Below are 26043 nucleotides of genomic sequence, written 5' to 3' on the forward strand. Positions count from 1 at the left end.
AGAGAGAAAGACCTAGGTTAAATTTAGATTACCCATAGCCTTGATGCCAGGTTTAGAAGCCTGGGCTTTCTCCGAAGAGGAGCGTGGACCTATTTAAGTTTAGTGAACATAGGTTTCTTTACTCAGAATTTTCAAAAATGTGCCTGTCAGAAAGTTTAATTGTGGTGTGTAAGATAAATTAGCATGTGTCTGTTATATGAGAACTCTTGTGCCATTATGCAGCAGTGACTTTCTTGGCCTGACAACTCCTTGATGGCAAAAGCTAGAGCTTAGCTATATATTTTTTCCCTCTCTTGACCTCACAGGACCTGGTTGGCAGGAGATATTGAATGTACTCCAGAAGAGTTAATGAGAGAATAAACAACCCCGAGAATGGTGGGCAGGTGATGAATGCAGAAACTGCTTGAGAGTAGCCTTTATAGAAGTTTGCAACTGATTAATTTGGAAATCTTTTATCCACAAAAATGTTCTGGATCCCTTAAGCTCAGGGATTGGGATTCTGCCGAAAGACTGAGTATTCTACCTAGACTTCTAGGCACATAAAAAACCGTGGGAAAATTTTGGTGCCAATTGCATGGAAATATTTGAAAACTTTTTGTTTCTGTAGTGTTTATCCAAGAAATTTTAAAATAAAATATGTTTTTTATATACTTTCAGATTATCTTCCTAAAAGTTCACATCATTGTGTATCCCCACCAACAGTGTGTACCTCTGATCCCTGTCCACATCTTTTCAGGACCAAACATTACCAAGGAATTTATTTTTTCCTCAATCTGACAGGCTAAAAATGAAATACTATTATTTGACTTTGAATTTCACTGATCCCTTCTGAAGTTGAGTTTTCAAATATTTTGTATTTATAAGTTCTTCATTCCTTTTTTTAGCTTAGTTAAAAATTTAGGGTTTTTTTTCTCAATGACAAATGGGAATTCTTTATGTACTGGTCATATTAGCCTTTGAATTCTTATTTATTTTGGAAATATCTCACCACACTCAAATGTGGCGTTTTGCCCTTTAAAACTAGTTAGAGCACTCTTTCTTTTTCTTTTCTTTTCTTTCTTTATTTCTTTTTTTCTTTTTGAAACAAAGTCTCACTCTGTCACCCACACTGGAGTGCAGGAGTCTGAGGTGAAGTAGAAAGATCTCCACCCACCCACTGCAACCTGCAACCTCCACGTCCCAGGCTCAAGGGATCCTCCCACCTCAGTCCCTGGAGTAGCTGGGACTACAGGTGCATGCCACCACGCCTGGCTAATTTTTGGTATTTTTTTTTTTTTGTAGTGATAGATTTTCACTACGTTGCCCAGGCTGGTGTTGAACTCCTGGACTCAAGCAATCCATGTACCTTGTGCTCCCCAAGTGAGGGGATTCCAAGTGCGAGCCACCGTGCCCTCACTGCAGTCTTGATAACACAGAAGTCTGACATTTTACACAGTCGACCCCATAACTTTTTTCCTTTATGCCTTTTAAATTTTATGTTATACTTGACAAAGCTTTTTCCACACTAAGATTATATAGATATTCTATAGTTTTCATTCTGTAGTATTTATATTCACTCATAAATTTGGATCTTTGTTCCATCTTAAATTTATTTTGTGTATTAGAGTGAGGTACAGATCTAATTTCAGAAAACAATTTTCCCAAATGAAAACTCAATCAACTGTCCTGCAAGCCTTTGGTCAAAATCAGCCTCATGGAATTATGTCCCCAATTCAAGTGTTTAATGAGGGATGCAAAAGCTAGATAGAATGCATTGTCCCAGAACATCTCTCTGTCTATCTGGGTTGTAGAAAAAGAATAATCTTATGTCCTTTTAACACATTTAATTTAGAATCAGTTATGAGGCCCCCTATGTCTTAATCTCCGCATTACCTAATACACTGCTCTATGCATAGCAGTGATTCAAAATATCTGTGGACTTAAAAAAGGAGCTAGAAAAAGGAATGTAAAGAAGAGTACAACACTATTTATGCCTTCAAAGTTAACCTAGTAGAATAAGATACACTTTATTCAACTATCTTTTAGTTGAATAAGAGTGACGAGAGAGGCACAAACTGAAGATATATTTGATACTTCATTTTTTCACCATCCTGATAAAGCATTTAGGATATTTACAGATAATATATGCAAACCATTCAGCCCAGTGTCTACACATAGTAGGCTTTCATGACTGGTAACTTGAAAATTATTTTCTATTATTTCAGGGGTTCAATAGAGGGAAAGACTTCTTTACCATGGAATCTTCAAGTTTTTAAGATGAGATAGTTTCATGTGGAAAATGAGAACCTAAACGCTCCACTAAATATTAAATTTTAAAACTATCGTATGGTTATTTACCACTACAACTTAAAAAAAAAAACCTGCCATTGATAGTCTTTTCCTAAAAGTAGACATAAGAATCTCACACACAAAAAAGATAAACATTAATGGATGTTGTTTCAAATTATATGTCTCCGCTCTTCAATCATAGCCTTCATCTATAAACTCTAAATTAAGACCAAAGCAGGAATTAAACTCATACATAAAATACTGTAACTTTAATGTCATATGTTAGGATAAATCAATAGGAGGAATAAATCTGAAGTGGCAGAAGTAACCACCTTTGACTTGCTTGGCATTTAAACCTTTTGGGCTTGGGAAATCCACTGATGCCGCACTTTAAGGGGATTTGATTTTATAGGCTCTTTAGCCCAAGAGTTTTCAGGAATACAAAAAGCGACGTGGCCTTGGAGATATGACAGGTGTCAGGCTGTCACTGTGAAGCTGCTTTGCTTTTAATGGCTTGTTCTCAAATTTGAATCCATAATCCACTGGTAGAAAAGCTGTAGACTTGCTGGCAAAGATGAGAGATGCTCAGAAGCCATTACCTTATAATAGAAATTGGTAGATAAGTGGACCATGGAAGTTTAGACTCTGACCTAAAGGGAAGTGGATAATTGCATTGAGGTAATTATCTTGTTAACTTTGGACAAAATTAAAGTTCACCTTTAAAAGTGCCAGATCATTAATACCAAAGTGCAGATCTTCATTCACTTACATGATAAGGTAAAAAGAAGTTACTAAAATTGTCTAGCTTTATTTAAAACATGATAATTCGTAATTTTTTATTTAAACACATTTAAAATGTGCAGAAAGCTCAAGGACTGGGAAAATAGGAGAAAAGGTACCCCTGAATATTATTATTTAAATGAAAAACCTTCCTTTATTACTTTGCTTTTCCTATCTGGAATAAGAGAGGATGCATTTGCCTTTAGTATTCTGATCAAAGAAATGAGAAAGAAAAAGATGGATGTTAATAGAGGTCATCTCAAATTAAATCTTTTTACTCTTCAGTCATAGCCTGTGCCTGTTATATTCTAAATTAGGACAAAAGCAGGGACCAAACTAATTTATGAAATGCTATGGCTTTAAATAGCTTATGTTCAATAAATTAACACAGAGAAGCATATGCTGTGGGAATTAGATAAAATCTATTATCATTGATAAAAAATTTCTATCTTCAAGTCTTTAGGCACAGTTGCTAGATAATTGCTACTTATTGATCTCTGGGAGGAAACTGATGTCCCATTGGAAGCCTAATTCCCTGATCAGTGCTAGGTCATGATCACTACCTCAGCCAGGTCTGACTTAAACAAGTAACTGTATGCCAATCTAACAAAAGGCAGTGTTAAGAGGCATTCAAAACCCCACTTAGGAAATATTGCAAGGTTAGGGGACAGTCTACTCCCTCAAAGAGCAGCCAATAAAGGCCTTTCTATTTCAGCAGCTTTGAGGGGTATGGGGTGAAGCTTGAGAGTGGGAAAGAAAAACTAGACTGAGTAGTAATAACTCACCCCGCTAATTCAATCTTCTCTGCATGAGGCTTGTAGGGCACCTTATTTTCAAATCAGATCAAATCAGCCAAGTAAGTAGGGAAACGTAGGCACAAAGCCAACTAATCAAGCTAAAAGATATGATTTGAATTTAATTATCTATGTATTTTACAGCAAAATATAATTTAGCAAAGAAAAAAGAAGCAACATTTGAAAAGCTATCTCATTTATTCATCTCACATTGTGAGTGCAGATACAATATTTGAAACTGATATTCTCTAAGAATATTTTAAAAAGATGTAGTAACTGAGATGTGTTTCTCTAATATATTTTCTGATTTTAAAAACTAAAATGCTTTAAAATTTTACTTGGGATGATTCAAAATGAATGACGTGAAATTTTAAGAGCAACTTATGCATCATGACTTTAAAAAGAGACTTCAAATTGTGTCACAATAAATTGTTCTCATGCATCGCTACATGGTTATTCCTTTATTCTTTTAGTAGTGTTTCTTAATATATTCTCTGGATTATTTACATACATTTTGCTTCTTTTTTTTGTTTGTTTCTTTTCTTTTTTTAGAAGGAGTCTCACTGTGTTGCCCAGGCTGTAGTGCAGTGGCGCCATCTCGGCTCACTGCAAGCTCCGCCTCCCGGGTTCACGCCATTCTCCTGCCTAAGCCTCCCGAGTAGCTGGGACTACAGGCGCCCGCCACACCACCAGGCTAATTTTTTGTATTTTTTAGTAGAGACGGGGTTTCACCGTGTTAGCCAGGATGGTCTCGATTTCCTGACCTCATGATCCGCCCTCCTCGGCCTCCCAAAGTGCTGGGATTACAGGCGTGAGCCACCGCACCCAGCCAAATTTTGCTTTTTAATTCAAATGTTCCATAATATATCTTCTTGATTTTTAGAGAATTTTATGTGTACGATTTACAAAGGCATTAATTCATTTGCACGATTACTTGACAAATGTTACTGAATGCCTGTTTTGAGTCATGCAGAATGCTAACTACTAGTTTGCAATGGTGAGCTTAAATGGGAACTGTTTGTAGACTCATGCAGATAAAGTCCAGTAGGGGGAAAGATACTGCAAAAATCACCACACAAATGAATATACACTTAAAATGTAAAGTAACTGCCATAAAGGAAAACCATGTGATTCAATGAACATGTGAAAAAATGTCTCATCATAGGAATTTAGTTATAAATTCTGAGTAAAATATTCATTTATTAGTGTCAAGCACCAGGATATCCTTGTATGTTTTTTATAAAGATTTTGTCCTAAGAAATGAGAGGAAATTGTTACAAAACCTAGAATGAATTGCAGACAAGATACGCACAATGTAGAAATACTGTTCCCTACCCTCCTCACCAAACATTTTTATAATGTTTGTGAAGTAGGAAGAAAGGACGTCAGAAAGCACAGAAAGAAGAAAATATGATCAGTATGCTAAAAATGTTTCCTTCCATCTAGTAGACAAATTGCTCTAAAAGAGTTGGGATTCAGTTCAGGTTGTGTTTCATTTTTGTTTTTTAACCCAAGCGGGCAAAAATAGTTTTCAACATACCACTTGTAGAAAACTCTTAATTTAAATGTGTGTGCATAACCATTAAATACATGCTTAGTTTTAATGTTTTCCAGTGATTGATAAAGGGTTGTATGGTGTTATCTTTGGTCTGTTCCAGGAGATTATGTGGTCATGTCTGTCTACTTTGATCTGAGCAGAAGAATGGGATACTTTACCATCCAGACCTATATCCCCTGCACACTCATTGTCGTCCTATCCTGGGTGTCTTTCTGGATCAATAAGGATGCTGTTCCAGCCAGAACATCTTTAGGTGAGACACCTTTGTTTATGTTGCAGTTTCTCAAGATAAGTACCAAATACAAGTAATTTTTATGTCCATTTCTATGTTGATCTGCTTTAAATTTAGCCTGCAATTGCATAGAAATACCATTTGTTTCATATTCAAGAGAACTGGCATTTTTAATTCACAATAGCAAAGACTTGGAACCAACCCAAATGTCCATCAATGATAGACTGGATTAAGAAAATGTGGCACATATACACCATGGAATACTATGCAGCCATAAAAAATGATGAGTTCATGTCCTTTGTAGGGACATGGATGAAGCTGGAAACCATCATTCTCAGCAAACTATCGCAAGGACAAAAAACCAAACACTGCATGTTCTCACTCATAGGTGGGAATTGAACAATGAGAACACATGCACATAGGAAGGGGAACATCACACACCGGGGCCTGTTGTGGGGTGGAGGGATTGGGGAGGAAAAGCATTAGGAGATATACCTAATGTTAAATGACGAGTTAATGGGTGCAGCACACCAGCATGGCACATGTATACATATGTAACAAACCTGCACGTTGTGCACATGTACCCTAAAACTTAAAGCATAATAAAAAAAAAAAAAAGATTTTTTTACTTCTATAGTTGGGTTCTCCTTAGTTACCTTGATAGGTTTTCTTGAGTAACTTTTCTTAAGAAATTTTAGTTAACTATTTTTTAAAAACTGTTTTAATATTAACAGATGTGTTTGTTTAGTTCTCTGGATAATATGCTGAAGCTGCTTGCACCAGCTCATGAAAGTTGATTGTGTTTATCTCTTCCCAACTTGGTATTCGGTGATGCCACATTGTTAATGTGAAATCACCCAAGGAGGAAATATTAACAACATGGAAACAAAAGTCAGGGCCTTCTTTTTTCTAGAGTTAATTGTTACACATTCACCAGCACGCCATTGGCTGTTGGCTATTCCCCACGAGTAATTATTGGGATAACATTTGAAGTAATCGGCTCTTTACAGAACAGCGATGGAAAAAATTATTTTTGAGAAAACATATTTACCTGTGAAATTTTTGGGGGAAAAGCGACTCTTAAGATTATTTGCAATTTGCTCAATCTAATATATATGGTGATCTTTGTCTTGAATTTTCACATCTGTTTCTTCACATGGGGAAGAAGACTCACACAGACTAAAACAAAGCCCAACACATGAAACTTTTTAAAACCTTAACTAAAAATAAAGCTAGTGGACGTGAACAAAATTCAACACCCTTTCATCAGCTATGTAAAACCTAGAACCACATCCCTTGCTAACTGTCTAAAGAGTCAGTAGGGTGTAATAGCTAGGAAATTGGGTTTTGGAGTCCCACAAATATGGGTTTGACATCACACATTTAGGATAACATTAGAATGTCATTTAATCTCTAATTCACAGTTTCCTCATATATAAAACATGTATAATTTCCTGTACCTAACTTATTGGGTTCTACTAGGGTTAAAGTATTCGATGCAAATTGCACATAAATAGTAAAGCCTCAGAAATGTTGGCTACTATAGTCATTTTCTGACAAAATGGTCTGTACTAAGTTATTAAGCTGAGGGCAGAAGTGATTACTGGGGGAAAAGACATCATTTGCATATCTGTCCTCTTCCAAACCTAATTTAGTTTCCCATCTGTTTCAAAAGAAAGTTATTTTGATTTTTCCTGTTATATGTGGTACTTTGTGTTACAAGTCCTTCTCAAAAATTAAAATATCTTGTCTAATGCTACACGCTGAAACAAACCCCAAATATGTTGAGCCTATTACTTTCGGACTATTACTTGTCACTATGAACAGATACATACTGTATTACAAGCTTCTATGTCTGTCATCAGAATGTCAGTCTTGTACATCTCTAGTACAGTGCCTGGAACATGGCTGGTACCTCAAATAATTGTTCAATTGATGTATACACTTATGTATGGCTGGAGCAAATACATTGATGTATTCTAATCCACCCTCTTCCCAAAAACATTTTAAGGAAGAGATTTCCAATCAATCTGTCCTCTTGAAGCCTGGATTCTTGCTGGCCAAAATCTCTCTCATGACTTCTTGGGTAACTCATTTAACCCACTCAGTAAATAAGTGTTCACTGGCAAAGGATCATGGTGGAAGAAGGGATCAAAGTGAGTGAGTTTTGGAATGAGCAAGAGGCCCTTAAGCAAATAGCAGATAGGTGCTTCTACTTGTTTGTAATTTGTAAGTCAGGAATGCTCAATATGGTCTCTATGTCTTTTCTATTCTTCACAACACCTGCATGTAGAAGTTGCTGTAATGATCATTATTATCACAATTTTTAGAGCTGAGCTAAGGAAGTAGAGGTGCTGCAAGGTTAGATGACATCCACAAAGTCACAGCATAAGGAGGTAGTAGATCTGCACCTCAGCTGATGAGACATAGGTTTGCTCTGGGTAGGAGGCCTTGGTGAAGACCAATTGTAGGTACAGGTGAGAAGCGGAGCTGAGCCAGTTTCTCTATTTTAACTTTGCTGTCTCAGTTTTCTAGATCAGTGCTCCTTAAATTTAATTGAACATTTAAGTCACTAGAGGACTTTTTGAAGTGCAGATTCCTTAGTTCAACCCCAGGAAATGCTTATCTAATGTGTCTAGAACGTGACTTAGGAGTTAGGATTGAAAAACAAACAAACAAAAAATCCACAGGTGATTCAAACGTGCAGTCGCCTTTTAGAACCCTGCTCTAGACTTCATTGAGTCCCATTACTTTTCTCAATGTTTACAATCCAGAGTTAAATGAGAGGACCTTAAGCACACGCAGACCTTAAGCTTCTTGCCACGGAACAGTTAGGCCATCTTGTTTGATGAGCAAGATAAATTTATCCACGTTGACTCAGAGATACTGGCTGTTTTCTGAGCACAGAGTCCTAGAGTATGGGCAGCCACCATCTTGGAGCATATAAAAGTGAATGTAGTTTGGTGCCCAGGTGGTAGTTGGTGAGGCTTATTTCTGGTGTAGTGACAATGAATGAAATGAAAATACCATTTGGTACTTGTCACCTAACTGCTTTGAGGTGAGGTAACATCCCTGAAGAGCTTACTTCATGCCAAGACTGGAGGAACTGGTAAAAGCTATGGATATATTTCATCCACCCAGGTAAGATAAGTCTAACTTATTTACTTATCAAAATGGAAGCTGTCTTATTGTTGGTTGAGGAGACAATATAAACCATCCCTACTCTGCCTCTCACTATTGATGTCATTGCAGTCTCTTTCCTGTGGCTCCAGGCAGAGCCCTGAAAATATCATGAGGCAATTCTTCAAGAGTCTACTTCTACATGGCTTTGATGAATGCCTATGTAGCCTAAATAACATTTTCCCAATTTGCTGGAACAGTATTTAACTTGCATGTCAAAATTTGTTTCTCCCAAATTATCACATGCCACATTTTAAAAAAATTAACTCATCTACAGTACCTACCATAAATACTGACATTTTCACTTGTCGAGGGTCAAGTATAGCCTCAGGCCTGATTGTAAAATGAAGGCCACAGTGCCAATTTAGTTTTTCAGTCCTCTGCAAAAATATCAGTTGTGATTAGGTACAATGAGAAACTTACATGAATTAATGCATAGACAACCTAATAAAATGATTTTTAGTTAAGAAATAGAACTTTCTTTTCTAAAATAAAAACTATCAATACCTAATATTTATTAGGATTTTACAAGGTATTGGTACCCTATGCACATTTTTAAATTTAATCTTTACTGGAGACTTATAAGGTTCTCCATCATTACCACCACCACTCCCAGTTTGTAGATGAGGATCTCAAACCTCCCTAAGGTTCTACCATGATAATATGGAAGACGCCAGACCCATATCACCTCCCCAGTCAGGAATCTACAATAGGTCCCATCTGTCTGGCACTTCATGCCACATATTTTTCATGTATTTATGGAGCTAAAATACTGTGGTTCAGAGCACAGCATTTGAAGTCGGGCTGCCTAGGTTTGTATCTCATCTCTACCACTTACTATCTTGAACAAGTTTTTATTCCTCCAATGCTCACTGTTTGTCACCTGTAAAAATAATAATAATAGTAATAATAATACTTACATTATAGAAGCATTATGAGGATCTTGTGAGATAATAGAAAGTGCTTGGCACAGTATCTGGTCAAAGAAAAAGATCAATAAATCTTAACTACTTTATTTGCAATTAAAAATATCTCCCAAAAGTCATAATTATGGATTCCTATTCTCAAACATAGATTGAGCATCTTTGATCTTTCATGTATATACTATGCATTGGCTCACTGTTTCACACATTCATTGAACAAACATTTATTGAGTCCCAGCATGATGCTCCACTGTGGGATTATAGTAGTCATTTAGACAGATTCTGTTTTCATAGAGTGTATAGATTAGAAAGGGAGATTGGTTATTACATAATCAGGAATAGTATAGGAAAGGGCCAATGGTATTTATAAACATAGTTCCCTTGATCATCTCTTTCCTGTATTAAAGGCTACCCTTCCTCTATAGCTATTTAAACCAACATCAGTCTTTCCACTGTCTGAAATTGCATAACAAGTACGTATTTAGGAAACTTTCATACTAAGCTACAACTAAATGACCCAAGAGAACCACATGGTTCTTGGAAATGTAGCTGAACTCTTCAAAAATGGCTCAGACAAAGACTTGAACTGATTAGGGAGACAACAGTAATTTTATTTCCTCTTACTTATCCTTTATTCAAGAGTGTTTTTGCTTTTCTCAATTTTCTTCTAAGCATGTTCTACCAGTTACCTACTTATGAGAGAATAAGAGCTTTACATCTTTTCCTGTATGACACTGGTGCTTTTCTCAGTATCTTCCTCTTCTCTTGCCCTCCAAGTCTCTCTACCTCTTTCTTTCTCTTTCTTTCTTTCTTCCTTCTTTCTTTCTCTTTCTTTCTTCTTTCTTTCTCTTTATTTCTTTCTTTCATTCTTTCTTTTTTCTTTTTCTTTCTCCTTTCTTTCTTTCTTTTTCCTTCCTTCCTTCCTTCCTTTCCTTCCCTCCTTCCTTCCTCTGTCTCTCTTTCTGTCTGTCTGTCTTTCTTTTTGACAGAGTTTTTACTCTTGTCACCCAGGCCGGAGTGCAATGCCACGATTTCAGCTCATTGCAACCCCCGCCTCCCGTGTTCAAGTGATTCTCCTGCCTCAGCCCCTCGAGTAGCTGGGATTACAGGCACCCACCACCAAGCCCAGCTAACTTTTTGTATTTTTAGTAGAGACAAGGTTTCACTATGTTGGTCAGGCTGGTCTCAAATTCCTGACCTCCTGATCCACCCACCTCGGCCTCCCAGAGTACTGGGATTTCAGGTGTGAGCCACCATGCCTGGCCCGACCTGTTTCGAAGTTTCCCTAGCACTTCCTTTTGACAGAGGAGAATCTGGCTGTCCCCTAGAAGTCTCTTGGTTAGCAGTAATAGTCAGAATTGCACATCTTTAAATGATGCAAACTTTATTTTTCTTTTCTGTCCCCCGTAAGAAATATAAATAACAAAACCTGGTAAAAGTTGGGATTATTGCTTTTAGAGTACAGAAAGATGCCTCCACTCAGGATTAGAAATGCCAAACTAGAATCGTAGAATGGTAAGATAGGTGGACCTTCAAAGAGTTAGTCCCACAGATGAGAAAACTGAGGCCTAGAGTGTTAAGATAACTTAAGTTCCTATAGCAAGAGCTAGAACCTATTTGAATACTGAATCCATTTTGCCTTTAGTATAAATTACACAACTTTTACATAAGAGAGCTCCTCATCCTTCTCTGGTTGATAAATATAGGTTGTCTTGACATTGTTCCCTGTCACTAAACAACCACTGGAGAGGACAGGTTTGGATAGGTGCTTTTGTATAATTAGTAAAGTATGAGCTTTGAAATCACTCATGTAATTTCTGTGTTCAATTCTGTCTGCTACTTACCAACTATTGGATGTGGTACTGGTCCTTTAGCCTTGTTCTTCTGATCTATAAATTCAGAATGAAAATACCTGCTGTGAAGATTCAAAGAAACAATGTATATGAAGCGCTTATCACTGCCCTTGGCAGAAGGAAGTTTTCAGTAAATATTACCTATTATGTTACTTCTGAGATACTTATTTTAATCCTATAATAATCTAAAAAGAATCCATCAATCAGAGCATGTCACTTACACATAACCCACCTCCTCTATTTAGCATCTTTGAATAATTTCTCCCTGCAATTGGAATAAAATGTAAACTGTCTGCATGTGCCACATTTTATAACTTCCTTTTTATCAAAATAATTTTAATCCCCTTGTCCCTTCCCAGGTGCCAGGTCTTCTAAAAATTTAAATAACAGACAAGGTTTCTCTTTCTCAGAACCCTCCCTTAATTTAATAATGATCAAAAGGTTAGTTTCTTCTTACATTTTAAGCTTTACTTTAAACATCAACCCCTCAAAAAGGTCTTCTCTGAGCATTCCATCTAACTAGCTTCTCACCATCCCTGTATTCTCCATGGCACATACCATAATGTAACATTATACTTTTCTCTGCTGACATGATTCACAGTATATCTCTCTCACTAAAATATAAGGTACACAAAGGCCAGACCAAATCTATTCATCAGTGTTTGTCATTTCAACTGATACATAGTAGACAGGCAATAAATATTTGTAAATAGAGTGAATTAAATCCACTTATACCTCCTTTCCCATTGCTGAAACTGCCCATCAGAAGTCATGAAACAATGTAGTCTCACGAGTGACTCAGTTACCCAACTTGCTTATGCAATCACATGACCTGTATTATTACACCTCTCTTCAGGTATCACCACTGTCCTGACAATGACCACCCTCAGCACCATTGCCCGGAAATCGCTCCCCAAGGTCTCCTATGTCACAGCGATGGATCTCTTTGTATCTGTTTGTTTCATCTTTGTCTTCTCTGCTCTGGTGGAGTATGGCACCTTGCATTATTTTGTCAGCAACCGGAAACCAAGCAAGGACAAAGATAAAAAGAAGAAAAACCCTGTATGTATCATTTTCCATTGGCACCATTGAAATTTTTATGATTTCGGTTTAGTTTGTTTTCATTAGCCTATCTGCAGGCTAAGGCTCAGCAGTTTGGGCTCCAAGATGAAAACAGCATGTATGAGTTTAGCCAGGCCATAACGATTCATTTACAGTCATTAGTTACTTGAGAGAGACTCAAGTCTGTTTCTATTTTCTGTGTCAGAGTTCTTATGCAAATATAATTACCTGCTCTCTTTATTTTGTGGAGACTAAAGCCATTTTTGAGAAATGTGACCTTCTTCTTGTTGCTATTATTCCAGGTTTCACTGATTTTTTGAGATGGAGTGTCACTCTGTTGCTCAGGCTGGAGTGCAGTGGCGGGATCTCGGCTTACTGCAACCTCTGCCTCCTAGGTTCAAGCAATTCTCCTGCCTCAGCCCCCTGAGTAGCTGGGACTATAGGCACACGCCACCATGCCTGGTTAATTTTTGTATTTTTAGTACAGACGGGGTTTCACCATATTGGTCAGGCTGGTCTCGAACTCCTGACCTCAGGTGATCCACCTGTCTCGGCCTCCCAAAGTGCTGGGATTAGATGCGTGAGCCACTGCGCCTGGCCATGATAATATTATTAAATCACTGATATTTTAAATTAAAACTTCCATCTCAGGCATTCCACTAGGAAGCTATAAGGTCCTTGAAGTTTCAAGGCTGACTACATTTTTGCAAATGATTTAGTGTGTGTATGGAGGTGGAATGTGGGTATTGTCACCAGATAATTTCTATTGATTTCATTCTCGAAATGTATCTTTTTGTTTTTAAAACAAATGATTTACTATTATATGGGCAAGTTAGTTAGCCTCCTTGTGTGTTTTATATATATATATGTAGTGTATTATTTAAAAACACTTGTCTTATGGGGCTCCTATGAGAAATAAATGTGGCAATGAAGGGCAAAACAAAAAATCCCAAAATATTACATAGTACTCTACACATGAATGTACTTAACATTAGTAGTTGGTGATGATAGTTGATTTTGATGATTTATACAGTTTCCAGCCTGGATTGACTTCAGTGCCACAATTTGAAAACAGGGAGGATGACTTCTACTTGCAACCAAACTTTAAATAGTGAGGATGAAGCATAAACACAAATGCCTAAAGCAACTGTTTTTTATTGTGAGTGTTGAGGAGAGCACATAGTTACCCATTTACACACCTGAACAAAGTGGCTGGCTCATAGAAATCCCCATGAAAGTTAAGGTCCATTCCCTTCCAAGATATGGGCAAAGAGAATCACCTGACAATCCTGGATCATGGCCTTCTGCTTTGAGAGCCGTAATAACGCTCTACCTATCCAACCCAGAGACTTTGGAGGTTGAATTGTAAGGAAGGAATTTAGCTGATTCTAGGTTGTATTCTGATGCAGCTGCAGAAACCCAAGTGAAATACTACAAGAGTAATGTGTTTATTTGAATGTAAGACTTTGGAACATGGAAAGAAAGAAACATCATTATTCTTGATTTAAAAAATGCTTTCTTTAATTGCTCAAATATTTACAATGCTTTATGCAGTCCTTCCCTTCCCTGTCTGTTTTGCCTCTCTCTGACTTTCCATTTTCTCTATCCTTGTTTTATTTTCCTTGTTGTGTTGTTTTTGTTTGCTCCCTCTTGTTCACTTTCCATTTCACTCTCCCTCAAGAAGGTGGTTCTATTGAGAGTTGGCATATTACCTGCCAGCTATAACAAGGACATGAGGACTGGCTTTCAAACAAGTTCTGATGAGTCCTTTGGAAAAAGCCCCTTGGCCCTCTCTGTCAGCTACGCCATTGCAGAGTAGATTTTGTTGCAAAGATAGAGGCAGATTCCCTTATTCAGGGTCATGGAAATGGCAGAAGAAGAAAAGGCAGAGGAGAACAGGATAAAAATTTGAGAAAATGAAATTACCTGAGAATTTCATGCACTTCTTTTTAGGCAATTAGATGATTCATCAGAACTAGCAAGAAAATAAACTAGGAATGAGAAGCTGAAAGTTTATTTTCCTGTTTAATATGCCTTTTGGATAATTGTGTCAAGACTCACCTATTAAGTTATCCGTGATGATAATTAGAAAATAGAATCATAGTATTTTTAAACAGGGGAACCAGGCAATAGAAAACTTCCTTGCAATTGAACAACTCTGGCTTCTTCAGTCAAGTAATTGTAGATTAATTTATTAAAAATTTCACTAGTAATTACAAAATTACACTTAACTTTAAGCAAATACTTTATCCCAAGCTCAGAACTCTCCTTCTGTGTTTATAATTTCAGTTCATTTCACTTACTGTGTTTTCAAAATGTATTTTTAATTTATCTTGTCTCTCTCTTTTTTTTTCATTTTTTTTCTCCTTTTTATTAAAAACAAATGCAATTCTCTTTTCTGTCTACAAACCCAAAGCTTCTTCGGATGTTTTCCTTCAAGGTATAATGTTTTTGGAATGGAAATTCACTGCATGCAACTGCTAAATTTAACTATTAATGCTTACATGGTGTTTTATTTTGTTTTATGAGTAGACATTTAAGCATTCTACTAGAGATAATATGTTGGAGAAAGTTCTACAGACTTCTAGAGTTGATTCAGCAACTATACACTAATTCACATAGGTTTTAATCTTACACCAAGCCCAAAAGCTATAATCCCTGTGAGATGTCATAGGTAAAGAAGGCTGCTTTATCCATCAAAGCCAAAATGAGCTTCCTCTTTTCAGATGAAAATGGGATTGAGTCTTACTGATTACGACTACCAAGTTTGTACTCTTTTAAAACTAAAATTTAACTCTGTAAATCTTAATTCAAAATGTATTGGTTCATTACTGTTTGTAAACTTAATGATTTCTGTTTTTCTGAACACTACCTGTAAGTTCTGTAAGAACAATATTCTTTTTGAAAGGCTTTGAGTTAAAATATCCATTCCTTATTTCCAGAGTGATCCCTGAGCCTTTTGGCTCTACTATAATGTGTTGCAATGAGATTTCTATTCAAATATAATAGCTGATTCTGAGACGTTAGAATTTCTGTTTAGATTATGCTAAAATGAAATCATCCAAATTAACATTAAATATATCATTTAGTTGCATAGAAATTTACCAACTGGTCTAGCAGGAAATTTGACAAGTAGTAACCTTCTTTTCTCAATTTCCATTCACATGTAGGTAAACATTGTTGACATTCTTAAGCTTATAGATGGTGAATATTAGAAAAAGAATCATAGTCCTTTAAAACATAAGCCATACCATTGTGGTATACAATCAGGAAAATTCTGTATTTATATATATTTTAACATTTTCTATTAACATTTAATACATTTGCTCAGAGTAATGGGTTTTCTATTTGCCTATAACTAAGCATGACACAATATTTGATTTCAGAATTGATGCATTTTTATTTCTCTGTTCCACTCACATGCAGCACCATCAAATGCCTTCATGTAACCAATGTCACATCTAATACTTACTAGAATAAGATTCCATGTAATTTGATTTAAATATTTAACTTTGAGTTCTTTTGGTGTTCAATCTCCTTGCTATAGCTATTAGCTTGATGATATTATTTTCAGCTGCACTGCTTAAGCTCAAAATTTGAAATCTGCAAATGTGCTATCTTTCTAAGTTCAATTTTACCATTGTAGATCATGATGTCATAGCAATTTCCTGAGTACCCATTTTCAGATTCATCATCACATTGGTGACATTGTGGAAAAACAGCCTAGGATCTCTCGAGAACAACTAACTGATCCCTCTCCTTCCCTACCCTCGTCCCAGGCCCCTACCATTGATATCCGCCCAAGATCAGCAACCATTCAAATGAATAATGCTACACACCTTCAAGAGAGAGATGAAGAGTACGGCTATGAGTGTCTGGACGGCAAGGACTGTGCCAGTTTTTTCTGCTGTTTTGAAGATTGTCGAACAGGAGCTTGGAGACATGGGAGGATACATATCCGCATTGCCAAAATGGACTCCTATGCTCGGATCTTCTTCCCCACTGCCTTCTGCCTGTTTAATCTGGTCTATTGGGTCTCCTACCTCTACCTGTGAGGAGGTATGGGTTTTACTGATATGGTTCTTATTCACTGAGTCTCATGGAGAGATGTCTGTTCTAAGTCCACTTAAATAATCCTCTATGTGGTTGATAATGATCTGAATCTGTTTCTATGTCCAAACCTGGTAAATTTTATAATGTCATATTGTTTGTGCCCAGCCCTCCTTTGGTTAGTGTACTTTGAACTTCGATGTTTGCTGTGTTTCAAACCTGCAAGGCAAAGTAAAATTAGAGCAAGAACATTCAAACCAAATAAGATATTTTTCAGCTACAGCAAATAAAACAGTGAAAGCCCTGACTATTTACAGTAGTGGTATCCTTACTAGATTCATAATGCAATTAGATAGAAAAGGTCCAAAACTGTACCCTATGTTCACTCCGGGTCAAGTTGTGATAAATTTGATCCCAATAGAATACCTCCCTCATTTAAGAAAAATCATAACTCACTTTAAATATGAAAGCCTAGTCCAGAAATCTATTACACCTTTATCTCAAGATAGGAAGAAAATTTCCTCCACATTCATGTACAATGATGTAAATATTTCAATAACTTAGAATGCTTCAAGTTTAGTGCATGCATCTCTTTAGATCCAAAATAAATGGACTGAAGTTATCATCCTATTGTCTTTTATTTTGTGTCCTTGGGCTATAAAAGATTCCTGAATGTAATTATAAGGATTTGGGTTTGGAAATGGAGGGAGGAATTTTCATTGCCTTCTCCCTCATGCATGAAGATTCGAACAGCTTATTTTTTCCTTGTATGACATATTACAACACTTTAAGTAAAATATAGACTGGATAATCAACATTTGCCACCTCTAAATATGCCCAATTTCATAACTAGAGTATAAAGTAATTGTATGTGCTTGCCGCTATTTTTTTCTTCCTTTTAGGATGATAGATCATAACAGAACTTATTCTCCATCTCAAGATCTGCTTCTAGTGATTGTGAGTGCCTTGTGGGCAGAATCCTTGTCATTTCCTCTTTGGGTCTGTAGCACCTTGCATAGTGCCTGGCATATAGTTGGTGCTCAATAAATATGGTTTGAAGTGAATTGCCCTCACATGCTTCTGGCAAATCTCTGTGCTGGCCTGAAACCAGTGACTCATCTTCTCACATAGGTGTTGTCAAGTGATATTTGATTTTGTAAAAATAACCAGTAGGATCCAAAGAACTTTAGCTATTTATGTTCATCTTCAAAAAATTATTTTAGGCAAAGTCCATACTCCTTTTAAAACAATATTTATGTCCTATGTTTGTGTATAGACATGACTCTACTAGGGCATAATTAGAGTTTGTGTATTATTTTTCCAGGTTTGGGGATGAGTCAGTCCTTGCCCATCCACAATTTTGTTTGTGAACTTATAACAGGAATAAGCAAAATTCATACCTGACTAGTGTTCAGAATGTAGCATTCTGTGCGAAAAAGTATTGAAGATTAGCTTTTAAAAACTGAAAAAAAAAAATGAATGACTCACATAGAGGTTGAGCCAATGACTGTGGCCTCATTAGATTACATTGTAGTTAAACAAAGCAATTTCTCCAGACTTAAAACATGATGAGTTGAGCTCTATCTTCATGTACTCATCCTGAATCCTTATTTTTCTAAAATAGCACCCTTTGTTAATTATTTTTATGGAAATTATTACTCTGTCATAATTAAATCATAGCTAGTATAACTTTACAGATAACCTAAAAAGAATAGAAAAGAAGAGAGAGTGGCTTTGTCAGTATAAAACCATGTAAAGTCATCATCAAGTCATCTGGATGAATCTTGAAACACATTTAGCTGCCAGTTTTACAAACCTTTAATATATCAGTGCTCCAGTATATAACCTCAAACAAATGTAAATAGAACGAATTATTTTCTTGTTTTGAATTGTCAATATATTAAATGTTGACTCTTTGGGAGAGTTGTTGGCAAGTTTCAATGGTGAGAAACATTATTGTCAACTTGAAATGTGTTCTGTAATGGGGACACTACAAAAAGCTAGCTTTCCAATGTGTGCATAGTATTGGCAATATGAATATATATTATATATAATCTAATACTTATTATAAGCTGCTCCCTGTCTATGTATTTGGAAACCTTTTCACAAAGGGAATTGCCTAACATGTGGACTTTTACAATAAAAATGCTGCATTCTAATCCATGGTGGCATCTCAGTAGTCTGGTGGGACTGTTTGTCTTAGAGATTGTGACCTCTCTTTCCTGCCTCATTTCCCCAAATCCCCTCTCAGTGAGCTTTATCTGTGAGCTGTGTGACTGTGTTTTGCATGGCGGTACTCTTCACCTCAAAAAAATTAAGAGAGGCATGTGGGTTGTAGAGTGAAGAAGAAAGGCAGACATGTAATAAAGTAAGTAAAAATTCAAGTCTTCTCTACCTCAAGAATTTCGGTGTGGTTAACATTAATTCCAGTGCCAGACAAAGTTGGGATCCCAGCTTTACTATTTACCAGTTGTTAGACAATTGTCAATTCAGACTTTAGAATCCTCCATTAAAAATAATTTATGTATTTGTTTATTTGTTTAGAGATGGGGTGTCCCTCTGTCACTCAGTCTGAAGTATAGTGGCACAGTCATAGCTCACTGAAGCCTCAAACTTCTGAGCTAAAGCATTCCTCCTGCCTCAGCCTCCTGAATAGCTGGAACTACAGATGCATGCCACCATGCCCAGCTAGAAGTCTCCATTTTAGCAGCTATAAATTAGATATACCAATGCTAACCTATGTAGTGACACTCAACAAATGGTCAAAAGCTCTCTCCCTCACTTCCGATGCCTTCCATGCACTGCTGTCATGCTCCCTTCATCCTATCAAACTAGCTTCCCTAATAGAATCCAGCATTAGGCATATAAGCCTTTAAGTGACTCTACATCACTCTATTTTTATTTTTAGGAAATATTTGCATTGCAAGTCTTTTAAACTATATGTGGGAAATTTCTGTCTCATTGGAAAAAAACTTACACATTACATTAGTTATTTTTAAGGCCAAAGAACTGTTATTTGTACCCTCAAAATTTACAAACATACAAAGTTGATTAGCCCTACTCCAGAGACAATGTCATGTTTTCTTGAACTCTTTTGAAATTCTCCCAGGAATATAATATTATCTTCACAACACAGCTGCCCTAACCATCCTTGGCCCCATTCTCTTGGCCCCTCATATCTTCCTGCATCTAATTTAATCATCTATTTCTCACCTTCCAAACCTATAAAAATATAGTTTTCACTTAGATGTTGTCTGCTGTCTAACTCAATGCCCTGAACTTTAGCTGAATTCATATCTTTATATGGCCTTCATTCCTTGCATTAAGTCTCAATATTATTCTGACTAGTAGCAAAAATTTTTGTCTGCAATGAAGGTCAAATTAAGTTAACAAAATGATGTGGTCTTCAGGGATTATGTCAAAAATTGCTATCTCTATGCTTTGTCACTATGAATCTTTGTCAAAGGTGTAGAATATGGGGGAATGACGTAGACCAAGAGCTCGGCTATGTTTTCTAGTGCTCAGTGAACTGCCAAAGGTCACACAGCTAGTTAATGACAGATCAGGGGGTCATCTAAGCATTGCTCTTTCCACTGTGTCTCACAGTATTTCAGAATTTAGAAGTAAAATTCTGGAATACTTTATCTTTCTGTTAATATTTTAGGATCTGCCAAACTGCAGGATGCTTTCCTTCTTTGATCTAAGCCTCACTTTGACTCATTTTATTGCAATGAGACAGGAATTTGAGAATACCTAGTAACAGAGGGAAGTCAATGGGTTTTGTATTTATTTTATTCCTTCTCATGTGAAATGACCAATTGATATTTAATATTACCCATACTGCTTTCAGAATGCTGTTTCAAAGAAACATCTAAACAACTCCAGACCTAGAGTTAGCCTTTGTCCTTTGGGATATGTGGCAGTAGACAACCAAAAAGTTTCCATGGCTAGGATCTGCAGGCTCATTCTTTCTACTATTTAAGCAAAGTGGTGGGGAATGACCTAACTATTATGATTCTTTCTAAGGTTACAGATTATAAGCCAATTGCAAAATCCAGTTGTAACTTTCTTTTGCCACATTTTGGATAATAAAGAAATAGTTTCCTCTAATTATGGTTTGTGTAACTAATTGGAAAAGCAGAGGCTCTTGCTCCAGATTAACTAGGTTCAAATATCAGCCCTGTCAACTTTTGTCTGCCTTAGTTTTCTCACCTGAAAAATGGAGATAATATTGGTGTGTATCTCAGACTTTATTATAAGGAGAAACTTAGTTAATACCAAAGAATTACTGGATGCTAGTAATTTTCCTCAGTAAGGATATAAAGTTTCAGAAAATACAGGGTACAAGAACCATATCTACTTTGCTTAAAAATATTGATCATCATTTGTGAGGACTCTCTTTTCTCATAAAAAAAAAAGTCACTGGACCGGGGATAGAAATTTCATTTAACATCTGGGGATTTCCAAATATTCCTATCTTGATGATATTCAGTTTCTTACGTAAACAAGGGAATTTGGCCCCTTTTTCTCCAGCAGATTTTTATTCGATCACTTCTCTGCTATTTGCTATGGCCTGATGTGATTGATTACCATCTAACATTCTGACTCTATTAAACTCTGTCTTATCTCCATACAGGTATCTTGGCTCATTTATCTTATTTCCACCCTGAGACTTCTCTAAAAAAGCACAATTTTCCTAGAATGTCGTCCTCTGCTCAACAGATTCAACAGTCTCTAATTAAAGACTCTACCTGGTCTGTAAGGTCTTCCCAGTTTCACTAAAGTTCAATATGCTATTTTCTTTTATCTCTTCCAGTTCTTGATGTGACTTTTGAATGGCCTAATCCTAATGTTTATCTTAGCTAAATACTTACATTCATCCAATCCTCTTTGTAAACAAACATTAAATGTACAATGCTGTGACAAGAATATATTATAAATAATTCACTATCAATTGGCATCTTAAATCAGGTTGTTTATCTTCTATCTCCATGCTCTATAAATTTGCCTCGCAGTTTTTTTTTTTCTGAGACTTGTGTGTTTTATGGGTGTGGAATTAAGTTCCTCATCAAATAGGTTTTAATTAAGCATCTATACATTCAGCTTAATATAAAGTTTTCAGTAAATTCATGCCATGGGCCTAATATAGGGCCCTGTGAGTGCAGGAAGAGGTAAATTTCAGGTATGCTTTGCCCTGAAATGCCCATAATATGATAGAGGAGTCAGAAAAGAATACAAATAACTCTAATGGAGCTGCACACAAGTAGTTGTAGATAGAATAAGTCATATTCTAACTGTGAGTGAAGTCAGAAAAGGGTTTCTCTGTATAAAAAGCATTCCTCTACATGTAAGGAGGTCCCATCACTGCTCAAAATCCCCCTTTCTGTAATTACTAATAAAAATCCTATAGACTATTTGAAAACTATGTACATGTACATAACAATATTGTTCTTAATCCATTAGCAAGAGTTAGTCACTAAAATAGTATTTATCTTTCTATTTTTGTTTTCCTCCATATGTATTTACAGCTGAGGGTTTTTTCCCCACATATATTTAAACACACGGATTAGACAGGTGAATAGAAGTATAGATATGGACATACATCTGCTTTGAAGTCTCATTTTTCCACACTATTATATATGTGTGTGTGAGTATATTTAACATAACATTTTCTGGCTTTCCATTATTATATCACAGGACTGTGTCATAATTTATTTAGTCAATCCTTTATTTCTGAAAATTTGCATTATTTCTTATTTTTGTTGCTGTAAGTAATATTACAAAACTGTTTTTGTTGCTATAAGTAATATTACAAAAATATTTTTGTCACAGGCATATATATATATTCCTCTATTTTCATAGAATATATCCCTAAAACATGAGCTTTGCTGAATTAAAATGTATAAGCATTTAACAATTAGAGTCCTGACAGAAAACAAATGGTATACTCCAAGGAGTAATTGAAGAAAAATTAATGAAGGGTTACTTACAAAGATTAGGCAAGGTTAAAGTCTACCAATTATAGGATGGTTTAGTACAACAGGTCTAGCAGTTGTCAACTGAACTAGTTACCTATATCCGTTGTACAAATTTCAATGAACTCAGTGACTTAGAACAACAAAAATTCATTATCATAATTAATTTCAGAAGGTCAGAAATTTCAGTGGCTGAAGTCAAGATGTGAGCAAGGCTGCATTCCTTCTGAAGGATCTAGGGGAGAATTAATTTCTTGACTTTTCCATGTTCTAGAGTCCTCTTGAATTCCTTGGCTTGTGGCTCATGTTCACCTTTAAAGCAAGCAACTGCATCACTCAGTCCCTTTCCTTCATCTTTCCTCTGGCTCTGACCTCAAGCCTCCTACTTACAAAGACCCTTGAGATTACATTGGACCCACCCAAATAATCCAAGATGATCTTGTCTTCAGATCCTTAACCATGCCTGCAAACTCCCTTTTACCACGTAAGATATATGTACAGTTTGCAGGGATTCGAACAAGGACATTTTTGGGGACCTATTATTTTGCCTACCACACTACCTTAGTCATTAAAGTACAAAAGGAAGGGACAGTTACAGGACCTAGAAAGAGCTGTAGAACAGGAGCCGTGACTTTAAACTAATACAACCACTGCCCAACAGCGGCCAGTCAAGGAGGGAGAGTAGGAATAAGTAATCAGAATTCTCTCTTCTCCTACCTAAAGTATATCTAATTGGTCAAAGCAAATGGAAACTAGTGGACAGGGAAATGCAGATAGGGTGGGCCAGAGGTCAGCCTTATGGGGCACACCATGTGGTGAAGAACTCTGAAGAATGGATCCAGAGAAATGACTGGAAATTATCCAGAAAACCTCTCCAAAAATCAGCATAAGTGGTACAAAAGAAAGCTTCTTTACTTGTACCCTACTTAACATAAATTTCTGAAATAAAGAAGAAATTTAGGGTTTTCAAATAGATTTCTATGCCATGGAAAAAGTAGTCTTTAAAAGTTATTACACTGGAATATTACAGATCCATATATTTTATATTGGGTAATCTGTTCAACCTGAAGAACTTTTCAATAGGCTTTAAAGCTATAAAGCAAATGCCTTTATACAACACTTTCTGGGAGTTAATGTGGGTTAATAGACATGCCCTTCTGGTGAGTCCTGTGGCAAGGGTGCCAATTCAGTCAGTGATTTGCAGGCCACAGCACCCTCGAGCTATTTTCACGAAGGGTGGACCTTCTGAGCCAATATTTCTCATCTGTTATTGCAGAACTTAAAAAGGGACAGGGCTTCTGAGTCACTGAGAGCCCAAGGGTACAATTCTATACTGGGTTCAAGGCTGAAAATAGCAAAACCACAGATCTATTTCTGTAAACACAATGACTGTAAGGACAACTACAACTTAATTTGGACAACTTAAACTAAAGTGACTAAAGCAAACCATTTGGAAAACAGACTAGCTTAGTACTGACACTCTGAACACAGCCTCTTATAGTGTACAAGACTATGACTTTCTCATTGACAGCCTTCCCATCCTCTTAAAGTCATGGGGGAAACTGAGTCCTTATTAGGGCTAGATTGTGAACCCTGTTGAACAAAAAAGAAGGACAATTTTACACGGCACTTAAATTTAGCTATTCTCTTCTAAACCTCCATTGATTCTGCATCTCCCCTTTCATTCTTTCAATCTCTTTTTTTTCTTCAAAAAGACTTGATGTCACTGTGAAGCAATGAAGATGTGATTCAATTCAATAAGTATGTTGAGTGCCTACCATATGCCAAGAACTGCCCTATGCATTGGAGATATCTTGGTAAAAATTAATGGCTCAGGCCCTATCCTTACAGAATTTACAATATAATGCAAAAAGAGGTGAGAAATGTGAAATTCAGTGGGTGGTTAGTATTATTAATGCAGAGGTAAACATCTGATCACAAAAGCCTCACCCTTCCCCAAATTCTGTATATATAAATGTATGGGGTAGGCTTAAGCTGATATTCTTCAATTAACATTAATAGATTTATTTCTTAGATATAGAAAATAAACCTATAAAGTAGTGGATCGTGGGGTTTCTTTAGGATAATACTTTTTTCATTTTTAAAAATTGCTAGTATCTGCTAGAGGATTGAATCAGGTTTTTTTTCATTATAAATGTCTTTTCAGGTATGTATATGAAATTACACAGGCAACATGTATTTCTTTTGAAAACACATTGGTTTTCAGGCATAGTGATCTTTTACCAAGGGACTAAACGATAGAGAATCTTAAAGTGCTCTCAGTGGTGTTTTATATTAAATAGTTGACTTCCCTAGTTTGGCATTGTGGAATTAGTACCAATTATTAAAGTAATAAATTCTTGCTGCTACCATGAAAGTTGGGGCTTTCAAACTTGTATTGATCTATGATAAGCAATAATTGTACATTTTAAGCTAATATACATGCACCATGCATATCCATGCATTTGCAATATACATACTTGATGCAACATTTCTTGTAAAGCTATAGCTTCTCAAAGTGAGGGCCAAAGTTTACACTTCTAAATCTTTATTGCCTAACACAGTGCCTGACCCATAATAGCCACTTGAGAGATGAAGTTTTTAAAATACAGTTTGTCAAATGGATGCTGCTGGACTATTATTTGTAAAGTTTTTATTTAAAATACCCATTCTATTTTTTTATTTTTAAGGAGGAATATATATATATAAATATATATACATATATGTGTGTGTATATATATATGTGTGTGTGTGTGTGTGTGTGTGTAATCACAACATTCTAAAGCATCCTTTCACAAATCTTCCCCCAGAAGAGTACCATTAACTTGATGAACATAATCAAAAGTAATCCTCAGATGTTAATGTGAGAGTATCATCAAAGGCAGTATCTACTGAAAATCCCCATGAAATTTAAGACAACTTACTGAGATTTGTTATTTAGCAATTAACTATCAATGGTAACCAATCAACTCAATTAGTTGTGGGGACAAACAAGAAACATATTTCCTTAAATGAGATTTTGCCAGGTAAAATTCTAACAAGGGTCAAGACTAAAATTACTTTCTTTCTTGATAAAAATATGGTTTGGATGTTTGTTCTCTACAAATCTCATGTGGAAATGTGAACCCCAGTGTTGGATATGGGGCCTGGTAGGAGACTATTGGATCATAAGGCAAATGTCTCATGAATGCTTTAGCACCATCCTCCTAATGGTAAGTGAGTTCTCGCTCAGCTACTTCACAAAATATCTGGTTGTTGTAAAGATTCTGGGACTTCCTCCTTCTGTATCTTGCTCCATTTCTCATCATGTGGCGTGCTGCTCCTGCTTCACCTTCTTCTATGAGTGAAAGCTCCCTGAGGCCTCACCA

At 36.2% G+C, this 26043-nt stretch overlaps 1 protein-coding gene across 15 annotated transcripts in view; it reads left to right on the plus strand.

The window, feature by feature from the left end:
- The window catches only part of GABRG2 (gamma-aminobutyric acid type A receptor subunit gamma2), an 88075-nt gene extending 69199 nt beyond the window's left edge, over nucleotides 1-18876 (plus strand). For 6 of the 15 annotated variants that reach the window (NM_001375344.1, NM_001375350.1, NM_001375339.1 and 3 more), the window contains 4 exons: nucleotides 5501-5653; nucleotides 12445-12650; nucleotides 15067-15090; nucleotides 16430-18863. In NM_001375344.1, the coding sequence (NP_001362273.1) occupies nucleotides 5501-5653; nucleotides 12445-12650; nucleotides 15067-15090; nucleotides 16430-16705 (659 nt within the window). In that variant the 3' untranslated portion in view covers nucleotides 16706-18863. Of the gene's footprint in view, nucleotides 1-5500; nucleotides 5654-12444; nucleotides 12651-15066; nucleotides 15091-16429 lie in introns of all 15 variants that reach the window. The other 9 variants (NM_001375349.1, NM_001375343.1, NM_001375348.1 and 6 more) reach the window with 6 other exon arrangements.

This window comes from Homo sapiens, chromosome 5 (assembly GCF_000001405.40).
Source record: "Homo sapiens chromosome 5, GRCh38.p14 Primary Assembly".
NCBI classification, from domain to species: Eukaryota; Metazoa; Chordata; class Mammalia; order Primates; family Hominidae; genus Homo; species Homo sapiens.